At 38.5% G+C, this 18,781-nt stretch overlaps 1 annotated feature.

The window, feature by feature from the left end:
- Nucleotides 217-723: an enhancer, noted in NCBI's record as "NANOG hESC enhancer chr8:127296381-127296887 (GRCh37/hg19 assembly coordinates)". NCBI's record gives its function as "activates a minimal SCP1, AML or CMV promoter by ChIP-STARR-seq in naive H9 embryonic stem cells {active_cell/tissue: H9 hESC(naive)}" and the evidence as "EXISTENCE:reporter gene assay evidence [ECO:0000049][PMID:30033119]".

Below are 18,781 nucleotides of genomic sequence, written 5' to 3'. Positions count from 1 at the left end.
CTCCTCCTCTCTATTCCCCTAGTGGAAAAACCAGCTTTGCTCTCCTTTGTACCATTTTCACTTCAATAATCATCTATAAATGTGTCTTTTGTTTGAATTCTCTTTTGAACCAGTTATGACGTCTAACTGGTTCTCTCATGCGTTAATGAGTTAACTAAAATCTTTGTAATGTGTTTATTTTATATCTGTATGAGAGTCATTTTCACACGCGTCTGTGTGAAGAGACCACCAAACAGGCTTTGTGTGAGCAATAAAGCTTTTTAATCACATGGGTGCAGGCGGGCTGAGTCCGAAAAGAGAGTCAGCGAAGGGAGATGGGGTGGGGCTGTTTTATAGCATTTGGGTAGGTAGTGGAAAATTACAAGTCAAAGGGGGTCGTTCTCTGGCTGGCAGGGGTGGGGGTCACAAGGTGCTCAGTGGGGGAGCTTTTGAGCCAGGATGAGCCAGGAGAAGGAATTTCACAAGGTAATGTCATCAGTTAAGGCAGGAACTGGCCATTTTCACTTCTTTTGTGATTTTTCACTTGCTTCAGGCCATCTGGATGCATAGGTGCAGGCTTGGGCTCAAAGGCCTGACAGCCATAATTTGATCTCTTTTTGAAAATTATCTACTCACACTCCCATCAAGAGGCATATAATGACAGAGTTTTGTTTCTTTGTGATTTTCCCAGTATTGATTTTAAGTCTGATCACTTGGTAGAGTTATCCCTTTCATTATAAGGAGACATTTTCCCCTTGTAATTAATAAGTTATCTGTAGGATGACACTTTGAATTTCATGTGAATATCTTGTTCTTCAAAATATTTTACCTGAAAATCACCATTTTTGATCATTTACTGAATCTCTTATTACATTGGGGGCGGGGGTACAATTTTGAGAAAATAATATATATTAGTCTGTTTTCACACTGCTAATAAAGACATACACGAGACTGGGTAATTTATGGAGAAAAAGAGGCTTAATAGACTGACAGTTCCACTTGGCTAGGGCAGCCTCATAATCATGGTAGAAGGTGAAAGGCAGGTCTTAACATGGTGGCAGACAAGAGAAAATTAGACCAAGTGAAATGGGAAACCCCTTATAAAACCATCAGATCTCACTGGACTTATTCACTACCATGAGAACAGTAGGGGGAAACTGCCCCGATGATTTGATTCTCTCCCACTGGGTCCCTCCCACAACACATGACTTTTATGAGAGCTACAATTTAAGATGAGATTTGGGTGGGGACACAGCCAAACCATAGCATTTCCACCCCTGGCCTCTCCCAAATCTCAAGTCTTCACATTTCAAAAGCAGTTTTGCCTTCCCAACAGTCCCCCAAAGTCTTAACTCATTTCAGCATTAACTCAAAAGTCCACAGTCCAAAGTCTCATCTGAGACGAGGCAAGTCCTTTCAGCCTATAAGCCTGTAAAATAAAAAGCAAGTTAGTTGCTTCCTAGATACAATGGGGGCACATTCATTGGATAAATATGCCCATTCCAAATGGGAGAAATTGGGCAAAACAAAGGGGCTAAAGGCCCCATGAAAGTCCAAAATCCAGTGGGGCAGTCAAATCTTAAAGCTCCAAAATGATCTCCTTTGATTCCATGTTGTACATCCAGGTTACACTGATGCAAGAGGTGGGCTCCCATGGTCTTAGTCAGCTCTGGCCCTGCAGCTTTGCAAGGTACAGACTCCCTCCCAGCTGCTTTCATGGACTGGAGTTGAGTGCCTGTGGGTTTTCCAGGTGCGTGGTGCAAACTATCAGTGGATCTATCATTCTGGGGTTGTTGGATGGTGGCCTTCTTCTCACAGCTCCACTAGGCAGGGCCCCAGTGAGGACTCTGTGTGGGGTCTTCAACTTCACATTTCTCTTCTGCACTGTCCTAGCAGAGGTTCTCCATGAGGGCCTCGCCCCTGAAACAAACTTCTGACTGGACATCCACATGTTTCTACACATCCTCTGAAATGTAGGTGGAGGTTCCTAAACTCAATTCTTGACTCCTGTGCACCCACAGGCTCAACACCATGTGGAAGCTTCCAGGGCTTGGGTCTTGTAACTTCTGAAACCACAGCCCAAACTGTACCTTGGCCCCTTTTAACCATAGCTAGTGGGATGCAGGTCACCAAGTCCCTAGGCTGCACACAGTAGGGGGGCCTGGGCCTGGCCCACAAAACCTTTTTTTTCCTCCTAGGCCTCCAGGCCTGTAATGGGAGGGGCTGCTGCAAAGGTCTCTGACATGCCTTGGAGACAATTTTCCCGTTGTCTTGATGATTAACATTTGGCTCCTTGTTACTTATACAAATTTCTGCAGCTGGCTTGAATTTCTTCTCAGAAACTGGGTTTTTCTTTTTTATCACATCATCAGGCTGCAAATTTTCCAAACTTTTAAGCTCTGTTTCCCTTTCAAACCTGAATGCTTTTAACAGCATCCAAGTCACCATTTGAATGCTTGCTGCTTAGAAATTTCTTCTGCCAGATACCCTAAAGCAACTCCCTCAATTTCAAAGTTTCATAAATCTCTAGGGCAGGGGCAAAATGCTGCCAGTCTCTTTGCTAAAACATAACAATAGTCACCTTTACTCCAATTGCCAACAAGTTTCTCATATCCATCTGAGACCACCTCAGCCTAGATTTCATCGTCCATGTAACTATCAGCATTTCGGTCAAAGCCATTCAACAAGTGTCTAGGAAGTTCCAAACTTTACCACATTTTCCTGTCTTCTTCTGAGCCCTCCAAACTCTTCCAACCTCTGCCTGTTATTCCATTTCAAAGTTGCTTCCACATCAGCAGCACCTCATTCTACTGGTACCAATTTACTCTATTAGTCTGTTTTCACTGCTGATAAAGACATCCCTGAGACTGGGTAATTTATAAAGAAAAAGAGGTTTAATGGATTCACAGTTCCAGGTGGCTGGGGAGACCTCACAATCATGGTGGAAGGCAAAAGGCATGTCTTACATGGTGGCAGACAAGAGAGTGAGAGCCAAGCAAAAGGAGAAACCCCTTATCAAGCCATCAGATCTCTTGATACTTATTCACTACCTCAAGAACAGTATGGGGGAAATTGCCCCCATGATTCAATTATCTCCCACCAGGTCCTTCCCACAATACATGAGAATTATAGGAGCTGCAATTCAAGATGAGATTTGGGTGGGGACACAGCCAAACCATATTATAATATAATAGCTTATACATTTATTTTGCATTCATTAAGAAGAGCTTTGTCTTCTCTTTTTTCCTCTTTTTTTCCTCTCTCACTAAGAAAAGAGACTTTAAAAAATATAATGTGTTATCTTTTTGTGAATGCTTAAATTATCTAATATTTTAGTCTTGCCTTCAAACTGGTTCCCATGTGCTTTGACGTGACACTGTTAGCCTGTGGCACATCCTTTTTTTTTTTTTTTTTTTTTTTTTTTTTTTTTTTTTTTTTTTAATTGAGACAGAGTCTCTATTGCCCAGGCTGGGGTGCAGTGGTGTGTTCATGACTCACTGCAACCTCCACCTCCAGGACTCAAGCGATCTTCCCACTTCAGCCTCCTGAGTAGCTGGGACCACAGGTATGCACCACCATGCCCAGCTAAGTTTTTTTTATTTTTTGTAGAGATGGGGTTTTGCCATGTTGCCCAGGCTGGTCTTGAACTCTTGAACTTAAGGGATCCACCTGCCTCAGCCTCCCAAAGTTCTAGGATTACCAGCGTGAGCCACTGCACCCAATCTGGGCACTTCCTTGCTCTCAGGCACAACCAGATGTTCCAGGCTCCTGCTGTATTCCCGTCCCCCAACACACCTGGAATAAACCATTTCTCCCAGAAATCCCAATTCCTTTTAGTAGGGAATGATAAAATAAGGCATGTTTACTGTGGAAAATTTGTTAGGTTTTCGTAAGTAAACTGTTGTTTGAAATAAAAAATCTGCCAAAGTAACCAATGTTAATTATTCTGATGGAGTAAAGTAGATATCATTCTCCTCTCCCTAGTGCTTCTAGTGGCAATTAGAATAAAACCTGAACTCCCCTCCATGACCTACCAATCCCTACCGGATAGGATCCTGCCTGTTTTCTGTCTTGTGTGTGGGTTTTGCTCATCAAGCTATTGTCACACTGTTCTTTTCATTCTTGAACACATCTAGCCCAAACAGTCCTACTATTTTTGCAGTTAGTCCTACTCCCAACACCCATGGCTGATCAATTGCAACCTTCTCAGAGAAGCTTTCCTTGAACAAATTGAATGCAGCACCCCTTCTAAGACCCTGGAAACCACCCAATCATATCACCCTGTTTTGCTTTCAGGTCACTCTCAGAAATTATTCGTTTGTTTCTTTGTTTGATTTTGCCTGTCTCCCAACTAGGATATCAGCCCCACGAGAGTGAGAGTTATTGATATTATCTGTCCTATTTACTGCACTTAACACTGATTGGCATGTAGTGAGCATTTAATAAATATGTATTGAATGAATGGATGTCCTCCCTCAGATAGGAAACTGGAACAGGGTTGGGAGGAGGCAGGGTTTGAGTACTCATTCCTTTAGCTTTTGCTTGAAGGAAATTGAGTAAATTAAAGTTATCTTTCAAGTGACAGAGCACAGACTGATACTAGAGAATTCAAAAGCAATAAGCAGCATACCTATTAACTTTTTGGGGGGGTAAAAATATGGTAATCTTAACAAAGATGATAAAGACTGTATTTGAAGAGCTTTACTGCATTTATCCTTATTATGGTTCATTTGCATATCTCCCTTATGCTCTCTCTACTACTCAGTAAAGAAACAGGAGGTTTCTTTATCCCCCTCACAGGGTGTGCAACAGGGATGTGGCTCACTTCTTGAGTACCGGGCTGCTCAAACCCCTACAGGGAGCATGCAGACGGGCAGGTCGTGGGGAGCATTTTTGGTTTCCAAACCCACAGCAGCATCTAGGGTTGCGTGTTAACAGCTCCTGAAGCCCCAGTGGGCATGTGTTACAGTGTGCTCTTTCATTTTTGCAGTCAGCAGGCAGCTTGTGTCAACCAGCTCATTTAGACCCTCTGCCTTATCCCAAGGACAGAGGGCTTTCTGTATCCTGGGTCCTTGCCCTAGTGTACTGGAAAAATCAGATCACATGTGGGCTTGGAGGATGGGTGCAAGAGTTTATTGAGTGGTAGAAGTAGCTCTCAGTGAGGTGGATGGGGAGCCAGAAGGGAGATGGAGTGTGAAGGTGGTCTTCCTCTGGAGTCAGGCTGCCCAGCAGCCGGACTCTCCTCTGACCACCCCTGGCCGATTTCCCCTCGGCATCTGCGTCATTCTGCTGTCAACACTGTCTGCCAGTGTCTGCTGGTGTCTGTTCGTGTGCTCTCCTGCTCCTCTCAAGGTCCCGCCACTTGCGTTCGTGCCCACTACAGTTTCAGGTTTTTATGGGCACAGGATATGGGGGTGTGGTGGGCTAGAGTGGTCTTGGAAAATGCAACATTTGAGCTTGAAAATTGGAGTGCCTATTCTCACTTAGGTCCGTGGGCACAGGCCCAAGGGTGGAGCCCTTGCCAGAGACCTTGATCTTCTCTACCCAGCACTTCCCTGCCCCCTCCATCCCGTATCAGTAACATCATTACGGTTTTTAAAATACTGGTTACCAGTGTTAAGGGGAATCAAAGGAAGGGTTCCCTGCCTTGAAAAATTAGGCCAGAACATTAAAGTAAAGAAATTGACTTAAGGGTCAACAAGATGGTAAACAATAATTAAAGCATATGAAAAGCAAAGAAAATATCAAATGGGAAAAAATATCAGGCTACTGCTCTAAAGCATCCATGAAGATTCTTCTTGTATTTGAAATAGTGAAAGTTTTATTTTGTTTATGACAGCAATTCCAGAACATGGAACACATTAAAATTTGGAAGACTATTTCTATCTCTTCCCCAAACCAACTTGTTTGCATGACCAGAATGCTACCTTGAGTAAAGTCATAAATAAAATTAGTCTTATATTTTTCAAAATTATATTTGAAATTCAATTTTTAATCATAGATTAGAAATTAAGAATAATAGGTAAGTTTTTAACTTAATTAAAATAAAATATTTTATTAAAACTAATGCACAAATTGCCTTGAAGATGAAAATGTAAGTAAAAACACAATATGATTCCTTTTCTCCCTTGCAAAGTGTATAAGCCATCTGTTAATATTTACGTAAACACAAAAATGGCAAATGTGAATGTGACCTGTTAATAGTTAATGGATCCTAGGAAATAGATAAGAATTTAGAATTATACAGTTGTGGTTTTTTTTTTTCAGCTTAGGTAGTAGAAAAATGAAACTTTTCTTTTTGAAACCAAACATAAAATAATAAGAAATTCATGAGTCCCAAGACACAACACCTACTTTCTCAATCATAATAAACTTGCTTCAGTTTCTATATATTTCCACCCAAATACAAGTTATCCAATTCTATCACCAGTATTACTCCAGTGTTTAAGCACATTAGAAAAATTCCCCATTTGAAGCAAAAATGACAAAAGACCAAAAGTAATACTGCTCAAAGCTTTCTAGACAGTGGAACAGGACACTGGGTCTTGGCCTCTCTCCTTCCAGCCCTACCCCTACCCCTACCCCCACCCCCATCCAACAACTTGCTTTTTGAAAAGAATCAAAGGCCGTTATTCAGGCTTTGCACTTCTGCCTGGTTCTAAAGAAGTTGGCACTTTGGTGTTTGATTCTGTCACCAAGGATTCTACTCAGAAGGTACCCAATGGACAGATAAAAAGACAAATATCCCACTGAATGCCAGGCTTTTGATAATGTTTGTTCAATGTTTTTAGAGTCAATAGAATCACTTGCAGAAACTCCCTATGCCCCAAGTCTCCAAAGGCCTAAGGCCCACAGCCTGGTATCTCCCTTTGAATGCTGAATTCTTATTAGCACATCTTCCTTAAAGTAATAATAAAAAGTCCTGAAATGACTTCCCCAGAGAGATTACAAGTGAAAGAGAGATATTTTATATTCTCTCAGAGAATGTACTCATCGTTCGTAATACAAAAGGAAGTTGGGGGCAAGGGAGTGATTTTGTCTTTTAATTATTGGTGATGGAAGAATTTAGAAAACTTTAAATTTCTCTTTAATTATATTAGTATTCCATAGTGTTCATTTTAAAGTAGATACCGATTTTTGAGCGTGGGATGGAAAATGGCAGAGGAGTTAGGATCCTGCCCCAGTGGGCCCCAATAGTTCCTTATTTGCATAGTAATTTACAGTACTCTGTATCAGAAGAGCAGTGAATAGAGTTCCCTAGGAAGAGGAAGGCTTTGGGGGTAGAGATTAAGTGGTGAGGCCTTTGAGGAAGGGATTAAATCCTGATGGTTCTGCCTAAGCACTGTGTTATACAGTCAATTTCTAGAACTTATTCATCTTGCATGGTTCAAACCCTGTATCTATTGAGCAACAACTTCCCATTCCCCCAACCCCCAATCCATGGCAACCATCGTATTCTCTGCTTTTATGAGTTTGAAAAAAGTGTGGAGGCTCCTCAGAAAATTAAACCCAGAACTACCATATGATCCAGTAATCTCATTTCTGGGTATATAGCCAAAGGAAATGAAGTCATATCAGCACTCCCATGTTCATTGCAGCACTATTCATAGTAGCCAAGACATAGAAGCAAACCAAGTGTCTGTCAGCTGATGAATGGATAAAGGAAATGTGGTATATGTATACATTGCAATGTTATTCAGCTTTACAAAAGAAGGAAATTCTGCCATTTATGACAGCATGGATGAACCTGGAGGACATTATGCTAAGTGAAACAAGTCAGTCACAGAGCAAAAACTTCATGATTCCACTTATATAAGGTATCTAAAGTCGTTAAACTCTTATTGATTTTTAATTTTTTTCTACTGGTTATTGAGAAAGGTTTGTCAGAGTCTTCTACACTGTGTATTTCTTTCTTTCTTTTTATTTCTGTCCATGTATATCTATTTTGAAAACACGTTATTTGATGATTACATATTTAGGGTTATGTCATCCTATTGAATTCACTCATTACTTATTGTGAAATGTTATTATTTATTGCAAGTACTCCTTCTTAGTGTGACTTAGTGTGTACTTTGTCATATTGTAATATAGCCACACTAGGAGCTGGTCAGTATTTAAAAAATATCCAAATATCCTCCATCTTCTTACTTTCAATCATTCTGTGGGTGTATGCTAGTTAAGGTGTCTTTAAGCACCATATAAATGGCTTCCCATTTTTCATCAAATCTGATAGTCTTTGTCCTTAAGTTGGTGTTCCATGTGTAATTTAATTTTGAAGGTCTAAATCAACAATTACATGTATAATTTATTATAAAATTGACTTGCATCTTTATATTTGTTTTCTATCTATTCTACCCTATTTCTCCTTTCTTTTCATCTTTAGGATTAATTATTTTATTTTTTAAAAACTCTATTTCTTTATTAGCTAGTAGGTTAAAATTTATTGCCTTTCAGTGAGTATGCTAGATATTTTGAAATATATGTTTGGTGTATTAAATATAATTAAATTTGCAGTTTATAATTACCTGAACAATGTAAGTTCTAAATAGCACTCAAACTCCGTTTAACCTGTGCTCATGTTTTGCTATTGTTGTTGAGCAACTTAGTTTTAAATATTTGCCTTACAAGACACTGTTATGGTTGTTTTACATTATAGATATTCTTTTAGGTTTATTCACATGCTTACTCTTTTCAATGATTTTTATTCCTTCCTGAATATCTGTTTTGCTCTGGAATCATTTTTCTTCTGCTTGAAGAACACATTTAATACTTCTTTTAGTCCATGTCGTATTTTTACTTTTTTTAAAATCTGAAAACATTTTATTTTGCCTTTATTTTAAAGTATATTTTCACTAGGTATAGAATTCTCAGTTGACAGTTATTTTTCAGCACTTTAAAGATGCTGTCCCATTATCTTCTGACTTCCATAAACTCATCAAAGTGTCTGTGGTCAATCTTATTGTTATTCATTTGAAAATAGTATATCTTTTTTTCCCCTATAAACATTTTCAAGGTGTTTTCTTTGTAACTTTCAGTAGTTTTGCTGTGATGAGATGGGTATTACGCTTGGAGATTCAAGACTATGTTGAGTTCGTGGCTTGAGGTCATCTATGATTTTTCAAATGATCTTGTCCCATCCCCCTTTGAATATTCCTGCTTCCATCCCGTTTTCTGTGCTACCTCTTATGGGATTCCAATTATTCATATTAGACAGTTCGATTGTGTTCCATATGTATCTTATTCTCTCTTTCTTTCTATCCATTTTTTCTCTAAATCTGTTTTCTGTTTTAAAAAACTTTGCACTATACAGATTTTGAATCAGATAATTTTGCTATTGTTGTAGGGACTGTCCTGTGTGTTGAAGAATGTAAAACAGCACCTCTGGCTGCTATCCACTAGATGTCAGTAGCATCCTCCTAATCATAAAAATTAAAATTGTTTCCAGATATTGCTGAATAACCCCTTGGGGGTCAGAATCATTCTTGAGTGAGAACCACTTGGTCTATTTCACAGGTACATTTTACAGTCAACATTTCACTAATAATTCTGGGTTAAAACTCTCCTGAGAGCCAGGAGGTTGCAGATGAGCAGTAGCTACCTGTTTCTTTGGGGTTTCTAGCTATTAAGGCTTCTCTACAGAGGCTTTTTCTCTAAGGCAAACGTAAACCTTTGGTAGATTTCCTTACTAAGGAGTACCTGTTTCTTGCTGGTTGCAATGGATGGAGAAGGAGATGGGTCCTAATGGACCTGGCACACTTTAATTCAGGTGTAGTACCCCAGGGAACAAGCACATCTGGAGTATGCTCCTTGATACTTTCTTTATCTTTCAAGTAATCAATCAGAGCCCCTGCTGAACTTCTCTTTCTTCTCCCTTCCCCCACATGGTTTCTCTGCATTCCTGTGGGTATGCCATTCTGGAGATGTCAGATTTTCTGAGCCCTCAAGAGGTGAAGAAAATATTGTGAAGTGTAAGATGTAGTAGACAGAGCACTTAGCTTGAGGTCAGGGGACTCTAGGCTCAGCTCTGGCACCAGATAGTGATAATGATTTTGATGCATTAACTTATTCTCTTTGGGCCTGTTTTATCTGCTGTTAAACTAGGAGTTAGTTCTAAGTATTTTGTACTCTCCTAACTTGCAGTTTTTGAATTCTTTCTTCTTCTGTATTTAGTTTGTTATAAACCTCATCTATCAAGTTCTCAATTTTTTATTGCTTTTTATGGTTCTAGAATTTCCGTTTGATTCATTTCTTTCTTGTTTTTTTTTTTTTTTTTAGTAGAGGTGGGGTTTCATCATGTTGGCCAGGATGGTCTCCATCTCCTGATCTTGTGATCCGCCCGCCTCAGCCTCCCAAAGTGCTGGGGTTACAGGTGTGAGCCACGGCACCCAGCCCATTTGATTCATTTCTCAGGGGATATAGTCTCTATCTTTTACTCTACTCTCTTGAACATGTTTATCATATGATTTTAATATTTTTGTTTGATTATTCCTATGTTTTTATTACTTGCAGGTTTTCTGTTAGTTACTTCTTCCTGCTGTCATGCTTGGTAATTTTTTATTGCATTCTAGAGACTGTAAAAGTTAGAGAGATTGTGAATGATATTATCTTTCTCCAGGGGATATTTACTTTTCTCTGGTGGTCAGATAGAGTAGGGATGAATCAACTTGATGTAAATATGTATTGAAATAATTCAATGCTAGGTTTCAGCCTTTGTGAGGGTTGGTTTACTTAGGGTTTTCCCAAAATACTATGACATCACCATTCCACGTCTTAACTAAAAGTTGCATGAATTGATTAAAATATTTTTTACAATTAGTAACTTTTAGGATTTTTTAACTTTTACATTTAAGATTGTCTATGTCTTTCTTTTTCTACCCAATATCATTCTTGTTTGCATTCAGACCACTGGTGATGCAACATTTTAAAAATTATGTTTTATTATTGTCTATGAGATTTTCTTCCATGACACCAACATCTTTAGCAAGTTTTTATTTGCATAAATAGGCAATGACAGTTACATCATGACTACTCCCTGGCCAACAGCAGTGAGATACATCCCAATTTAAAATATTTTTAAAGTGAAGAGAAAAAGGAATATACATCTTAAAATGGATGGAATGCCATTTGAATAGCACTTAGAACAGTTCATGGTGAAGATTAAATGTGATCATTATTTTTATTTGAGAATAGGAGTAAAATGATCTAACATACATTTTTAAAGAGTCTCTAAAACTCAATGATTTAAAAAGAAACAATGATTACAAAAGAGCAAAAGATCTGAACAGACATCTCACAAAGATTTACAGATGGAAAACAAACATGTAAAATATGTTTAACATCACACGTCATTAGGGAGGCTTGCAAATTAAGGTAACAATGAGATACCATTACACACCTGTTATTAATAGAATAGTAAAAATTCAAAACACAAACACTATGAAATGCTGGTGAGAATTTGGAACAACAGAAACTCCAATTTATTGCTGGTGGGAATGCAAAATGGTGTACGCATTCTGAAAGATAGTTTGTCAGTTTTGTACAAAATTAAACATACCTCTTCACATATAATTCAGCAATCATGCTTCTTGGTATTTAATAAAATGAGTTGAAAACTATGTCCACACAAAAATCTTCATACAAATATTTATCGTAGTTTTATTCATAATTGCCAAAACTTGGAAGCAAGGAGATGTTTTTCAGTAGGTGAATGGTAAAATAAACTGTGGTACATCCAGGCAATGGAATATTATTGGGCACTAAAAAACAAATGAGCTGTCAAGCCATGAAAAGACATAGAAGAATAATAAATGCATACTAAGTGAAAGGAACCAATCTGGAAAGGGCACATAATGGGTGATTTGAGCTCTATGATACTCTGAAAAGACAAAACTACGGAGACAGTAAGAAGATCAGTGGTTTCCAGGGGTCAGATGGAAGAGAAGGATGAGTAGGCAGTGCACAGAAGACTTTTACGGCAGTGAAACTACTCTGTATGATCCTATAGTGGTGGATGCAGCTCATTATACATTTGTCAAAACACATTCAATTTATACCAAGAGTGAACTATAATGTAAGCTATAGACTTTGGGTGATAATTATGTGCCAATGTAGGCTCATCCATGTTAACAAATGTACCAGTTTGGGGAGTGGATTTTGATAGTGGAGAAAGCTGTTTTGGTGTAGTGGTAGGAAATATATGGGAACTCTCTACTTTCTCTTTAGTTTTGCTGTGAACACAAAAGTTCCCTAAAAAATTAAGTCTATGAAAAACTTTTAAAATAAAACTTTCTAGCTGTGATGGGGAGAAGAGTTTTAAGAGGTGATATGAGTTGAAGGAGATTAGTTAAGAGGCTTTGCATAATCCAAATAAGAAATCATTGTTTTGAACCAGTGGTAGTTATGGGGTAGTGCAAAGTGGTCTGATTCTTGATATGTTTGAAGATATGTTAAACAGGATTTCTGATGAATTAGATACAGGTTATTAAAGAGGAATCATAGATATATTCGGGGTGTAGGTATGAGCAGCTATAAGGATGAAATTGATATTTAATAAAATGAAGAGGGCAGGAGCAGAAGGCTTGGTGGGGTGGTGGGCAGGTAGAGGAGAGAAGCTCAAAATTATGATTTAGGATATCTTAAGTGTATATTAAATATTCAAGTGTAGATGTGAAGTAGGGAATTACATACATGAGTCTCGCATTTAAGGACAAGTCAAAGGTCAAGATATAAATTTGGAAGTCATGGTAGTTCAAGTTGCAAGCATGGTTGAGATGACCTGGAAAATAAGTTTAGATTGAGAAAAGGAGAGGTCTGAGACACAGTCTTGGTGAAATTTAATGCTAAAAGTTGGGAAAGTGTGGACACACCAAAGAAGAAGCTTGAGAGGGAGTAACTTCTTAGGTAGGAGGAGAATCAAAAGAAAGTTATAGCTTTTAAGCCAAGAAAAGAAAATGAAGAAAAAGAGAGGAATCAACAGTGTCATATGCTACTGATAGGTTCCATTATGAAACATATTATTTAAAAAATATTATTTTAAATGTAAGTATGAAATTTTATTACCTAATATTTTATTTAAAATGTTCATGTCATGTTCATTCATAAATGAAATGGGATTATGATTTTCTATTACTCAGTCATTATTTGAAAATTAATGCTACAGTAGCCTTCTTTTTTTTTTGAAACAGGGTCTCACTCTGTTGCCCAGGCTGGAGTGCAGTGGCACAATCACAACTCACTGCAGCCTCAACCTCCTGGGCTCCAGCAATTCTCTCACTTCATCCTCCTGAGTAGCTGGGAATACCTACAGACATGCACCACCACACCTGGCTAATTTTTTTGATTTCTAGTACAGACAGGGCCTTATTATGTTGCTTGGCCTGGTCTTGAATTCCTGAGCTCAAGCAATCCTCCCATCTCGGCCTCCCAAAGGGTTGGGATTACAGGCATGGGCCACCATGCCCGTGCACAGTAGCCTTTTGAAGTCAGTTGGGCAAAAGTATCCAAGTTGAGTAGGGGATGTGTGGAATATAAGTGAAAAAGTTTTTCCATGAGTTGAACATGGGTGAAGGAGGTTACAAGGGAATACCATATACTATTCTCTTAATGTTTGTACTTTTAAAAATTATTCTATGATAAAAGTTTAAAAATAATACAGTTTTCCTCCATTCTATTTGCTGGCTGTGGCATTAACATTTACCTACCCCATGCTGCTGGTTTCCATCCACATTAAATCATGAGTTACCTTTTGTCTTCCAATGTGTTTCTCACAGCTTTCTGTTCATTTGTTTTTGTTATAGCTGTGAAATCCTCAGATCTGTGCTTTCCTTCCTCTTTCGTAGTTTAACCAGGTGAAGTTTGGAGGAAAGAGCCAGCAGTCAGTGCTAATGAAATTTAAAGAGTACTATTGGAAAGAATTGACATCTTTACAATGTTAAGTCAAACCCTCCATGGATATAGTAATCTCTGTATTTACTCAAGTCTACTGTATGGCTTTCAATAGGGTTTAAAATTTTTTTCCTATAAAAACTTTGTGCATTTTATTAGGTTAATTTCTGTATACTTTGTAGTTTTTTCAGTGGTATCTTATTTTCTACTACTATTCTAATAGCTTATTGCTGGGATAAGAAAATGTGCTCACTTGTCTATGTTCAGAAAGCTTGATAAACTCTTTCTAATAGTTTGTTGATTCTACTGGATGTTCAATGCAAATTATAATATCCTCTCAATATAAAGGCAATTTTTACATTATCTTACTTTTAAAAATATTCTCCATTAAGAATTACATTTACTATTGAGTTTCAGGATGTAGACTTTATTACATTAAGGAGATTTATTTCTTACCTGGTTTGTGATAGTTTTTGTCATAAATGAGTGCTGAACTTCATTGATGTGTTTCTGAATCTATCAAAAAGACCAAGTTATTTTTCCTTTTTACTTATTAATATATTGTTATATTAACATTTTATTATGCTAATTCATTATATTATTCCTGATATAAACCTTAGTTCATCATTATGTAGTTATTTAAATAATACTGAGTTTGTTGATCTAATATTTGCTTTAAGATTTTTGCATTTGAGTGGGTGTGATGGCTCACACCTGTGGTCCCAGCCCTTTCAGGGGCTGAAGCAAGAAGATCACTTGAGCCCAGGAGTTCAAGACTAGCCTGGCAACATGGTGAGACAGAGACCTCATCTTTACAAAATATACAAAAATTACCTGGGAGCGGTGGCACATGCCTTTAGTTCCAACTTCTTGGGAGGTTGAAATGGGAGGATTGCTTGAACCCAGGAGGTTGAGGCTGTAGTGAGCTATGATCTCATTAGTGCGCTCCAACCTGGGCGACAGAGCAAGATCCTGTCTCTCAAAAAAAAAAAAAAAAGAAATAAAGAAACAAAAACATCATGTCATCATGTTGGCATTTATGCTTTATATTCATAAGTAAGTTAGGTCTGGAATTGTGTTTTATTTTTTGGGGGGGAGCAGTTTTAAGTTTCAGAAAAATTGAGTAGAAAATACAGAGAGTTCCCATATACTCTCCACTCTACCCCAGTTTCCCTTATTACTAACATCTTGCATTAGCACGGTACATTTATTACAATTGATGAGCCAATATTGTTACATTATTCACAAAAGTCTATAGTTTACATTGGAATTCACTGTTGATGCACATTTTCTGGGTTTTGGTAAATGTATAATAGCATGTATCCACCATTACAGTATCATACACAACAATTATGCTGCTCTAAAAATCCCCTCTGCTTCACCTATGCAGCTGTCCTTCCTGCCCTATAAAAATGGTTTGAACACTCACATTTTAAATCACTGAATAACATCCTATTGTCAGATGTGCCATAGCTCATTTATGGATTTGCCTATTGAAGGACATGAAATTGTGTTTTAATGTATTGCCCTAATCTAGATTGAGAATGTGAATTGCACTAGAATCATAAAATAAATTTCCTTTCCTTTTTTCTTTGTTTTTGATGATATGTAAAATTGGGATTGTCTGTGCCTTGACGTTTGGTGCACTCTCCTTTTGAAACTGTCTGGGTCTTGGGCTACATCAGTCAGGATCTAGTCAGGAGACAGAAGTTATAGAATAAGTTGAACAGAAAAAGCAATGAAAAGAATTATTAAATGATAATGAAGGAACTCCAAGGAATACAGATGTAGAATGTATTCCCCCTATGGAAAAGTCACAACTACTAGGGCTAAGACAGAGGACCCAAGGGAGGAACAAATTTGGAAGAGGGTTCCCCCACCTCCAACAGGGGCTAATTTAGACTTTGTTAGAAAGGGTGTGACTGTAGCCCTCTGAATAGTGTAAAAGTTGACTGAGGTGTCAAAGGCCCAGGTTGATCATCAGAAAACTGTGTCTAGGGTGTAAACAAAACTTGCAGGAGGTTAGCTGCCCTCTGGGAAGCCTGCCCATGGAGTTCTGCTCAAACTCAATAGGAAGCACCCACTGGGATGCCTGTGAGGTTATTTAGAAAGGGAACTGGGGGGCAGCAGAACTTGCTGGAATACTGTCTGCTGGATTGCCTGTGAGACATCCTGAATGTCAGCTGGGAGCTTACAGAACTTGCCAACAAAATCGCTTGTGGAGATGACACCTAACTCCCTCCTGGGAGACTGGCTGGGAGGCTGGCTGGGAGAGGCTGGCTGGGAGGATGGCTGGGAGGATGGCTGGCAGGCTGGTAGAGCCTACTAGAATGCCACCATGGGGGTTCCACAGGAACTCACTAGAAGGACTGAGTGCCAGTGGGTTTCCCTCATGCAGGCTGAGTGCTGCAGAAGTGCTTGCTCTGTTGCCTAGGCAGGAGTGCAGTGGTGTGATCATGGTTCACTGCAGCCTCAACCTCTCACCTCAGCCTCCCAAGTATGCACCCACCACACCTGGCTAATTTTATAATTTTTTAGGGACAAGGTCTCACTGCAAAAGAGAGGAGTGGCATTTGGAAACCAAGGAGAGAAGTCATTCCACCGGGAGTGTCCCCCAGCGCTCTCTACTGACAAAACTTACCACCATGCCAACTGGAAAAGAAGAAATGTTTACAGGGTCCAGCTTTACTATCGCAAAGCAGGATAACAAAGAAGGGATACAGCTGAAGGACAATTAGTTGATAGCTGGAACAGGGGCTTTATTTTTATTTTTATTTTTTTGTGAAGCAAGGCAAGGATAGAGAGAGATTTTTGATTACTATTTCCATTTTTGTTAACATATGGCTATTTGTTTTTTTGTTTGTTTGTTTTTTTGAGACAGAGTCTCGCTCTGGCGATCTCGGCTCAACGCAAACTCCACCTCCCGGGTTTTCAAGCAATTCTCCTGCCTCAGCCTCCTGAGTAGCTGGGATTACAGGTGTGCACCAGCACGCCTGGCTAATTTTTGTGTTTTTAGTAGAGACGGTGTTTCCTTATGTTGGTCAGGCTGGTCTCAAACCCCTGACCTTGTGATCCACCCACCTCAGCCTCCCAAAGTGCTGGGATTACAGGTGTGAGCCACTGTGCCTGGCCTTGGCTATTCTTTAACATTCTTCTTGTTCCGATTTTGGTTCTTTATCTTTTCCCAAGAATTTGTCTATTGAAGCTAGGTTGTCAGATTTATTGTTGAGTAGCCTTCCAAACATTCCTGTAAAAATAATATATTTTTGGCCTAGTGCAGTTGCTCATGCCTTTTGTCCCAGCACTTTGGGAGGCTAAGGCAGGAGGACTGCTTGAGCTCAGGAGTTTGCAACCAGCCTGGGCAACAGAGTGAGACCTTGTCCCTATAAAAAATACAAAATTAGCTAGGTGTGGTGGGTGCATATCTGTTGTCCTAGCTACTTGGGAGGCTGACGTGAGAGGTCAAGGCTGCAGTGAACCATGATCACACCACTGCACTCCAGCCTAGGCAACAGAGGAAGACTCTCTGAATAATAATGATAATATACTTTTAAAATCTGTTTATGGATTTTTATTCTTTTTGTAGTCTGCCTTTACCTTATTTATATTTATTGCAGAGGTTGTTAGTGCTCACCAAAGTATGCATGTGTTTTCTATGTTCTTACCCTCACTACGGGACTGTAGGTTGGTCCAAACCAATGAGAGGTGAGCAGAGAGTATGACTTCCAGGCCGAGGAAGTTAACAGCCAGCAATCATTATTCTTCTGTTTCTTCTTCTGTCATGGCAATCATGGACCCCTGATTACTGCTTGAGGAGAGATACCCTGTAGATTTGACTGGCCAAGGATTCTGAGGAAAGCAAGAAATAAACATTGTGTTAAACCAAGTGATTTTTGGTAGTGTCAGCTACCCTTAATTACTCTGAATGAAACAGGAATCCTTTTCTTTCTCCTCTCTCCTTAGTCAGCCTTTCTGGGGGCTTATCTACTTGAGTAGACTTCTCCAAAGAAAAATCAACTTTTGGGTTACTGTAGCTCAGTGGATAAAAGTACAGATTATAAATCAATCTCTGTTCCTGATTAGACTACGATCTTGAAAAAATTATGTAATTTTCCTGGGTATTGCTTTACTCATTTGTAAAATAAAAAAATGAATAATTTTACCTATCTCTATGGGCATTGTGATGACTGGGTGAATTAATCTATGTAAAACATTTAGAATAGCCCTTAGCATATGCACTGTAAACATGTTAGCCACTATTATTATCTGTTTTTCTCTACTTTATTAATTTCTGTCCTTACCTTCATTACTTCTTCTTTCACTTATTTTTCTTGTTTATTTTTCTAGTATTTGGGGGAATATTTAGCTCACTTATTTATAATTTTTTTGTCTTCTGATGAATAACTTTTAGAAAATATATGCCCGTCTAAGTCCTGCCTTAACTGTTTCCCAGACATTTTAACATGTAGTGCTTTTGTGTTCATTCAGCTGTAAATTTAATACTTTTACTCATGAATTTCTCTGTTTTTAGTTTATAGGCATTTGGGGTTTCTCTAAGAGTTTTCATTCAGTTTCAATTTTTTTTTTTGGTCCACCCTCCCCTAGTTTTGATTTCTAATTTTATTAAATAATAACTGGAAAACTCTCTGAAATATTGCTTCTTTGCAATTTATTGAGGCTTTTTTTGTTACTCAATACTGGAGTGAATTGTGTGAATGTTTCATGTGTGCTTAGAAAAGAAAAAGTATGCTCACTGGGTACGAAGTTAGTTAGGTATCTTTTGGTTTATAGTTATTAATTATCATATATATGAAGTTTTTATGTTTCCTTGGGCTATCTGTTTCTGATACAAATCTATTAAAATCTCTAACTACAATTACTGATTTAGCTATTTCTCTTCATAATCTCTCAGCTGATG

This window comes from Homo sapiens, chromosome 8 (assembly GCF_000001405.40).
Source record: "Homo sapiens chromosome 8, GRCh38.p14 Primary Assembly".
In the NCBI taxonomy this organism is placed as follows: domain Eukaryota; kingdom Metazoa; phylum Chordata; class Mammalia; order Primates; family Hominidae; genus Homo; species Homo sapiens.
The sequence above is the reverse complement of the archived record's forward strand: the minus strand, read 5'-3'. Positions and strand labels throughout refer to the sequence as shown.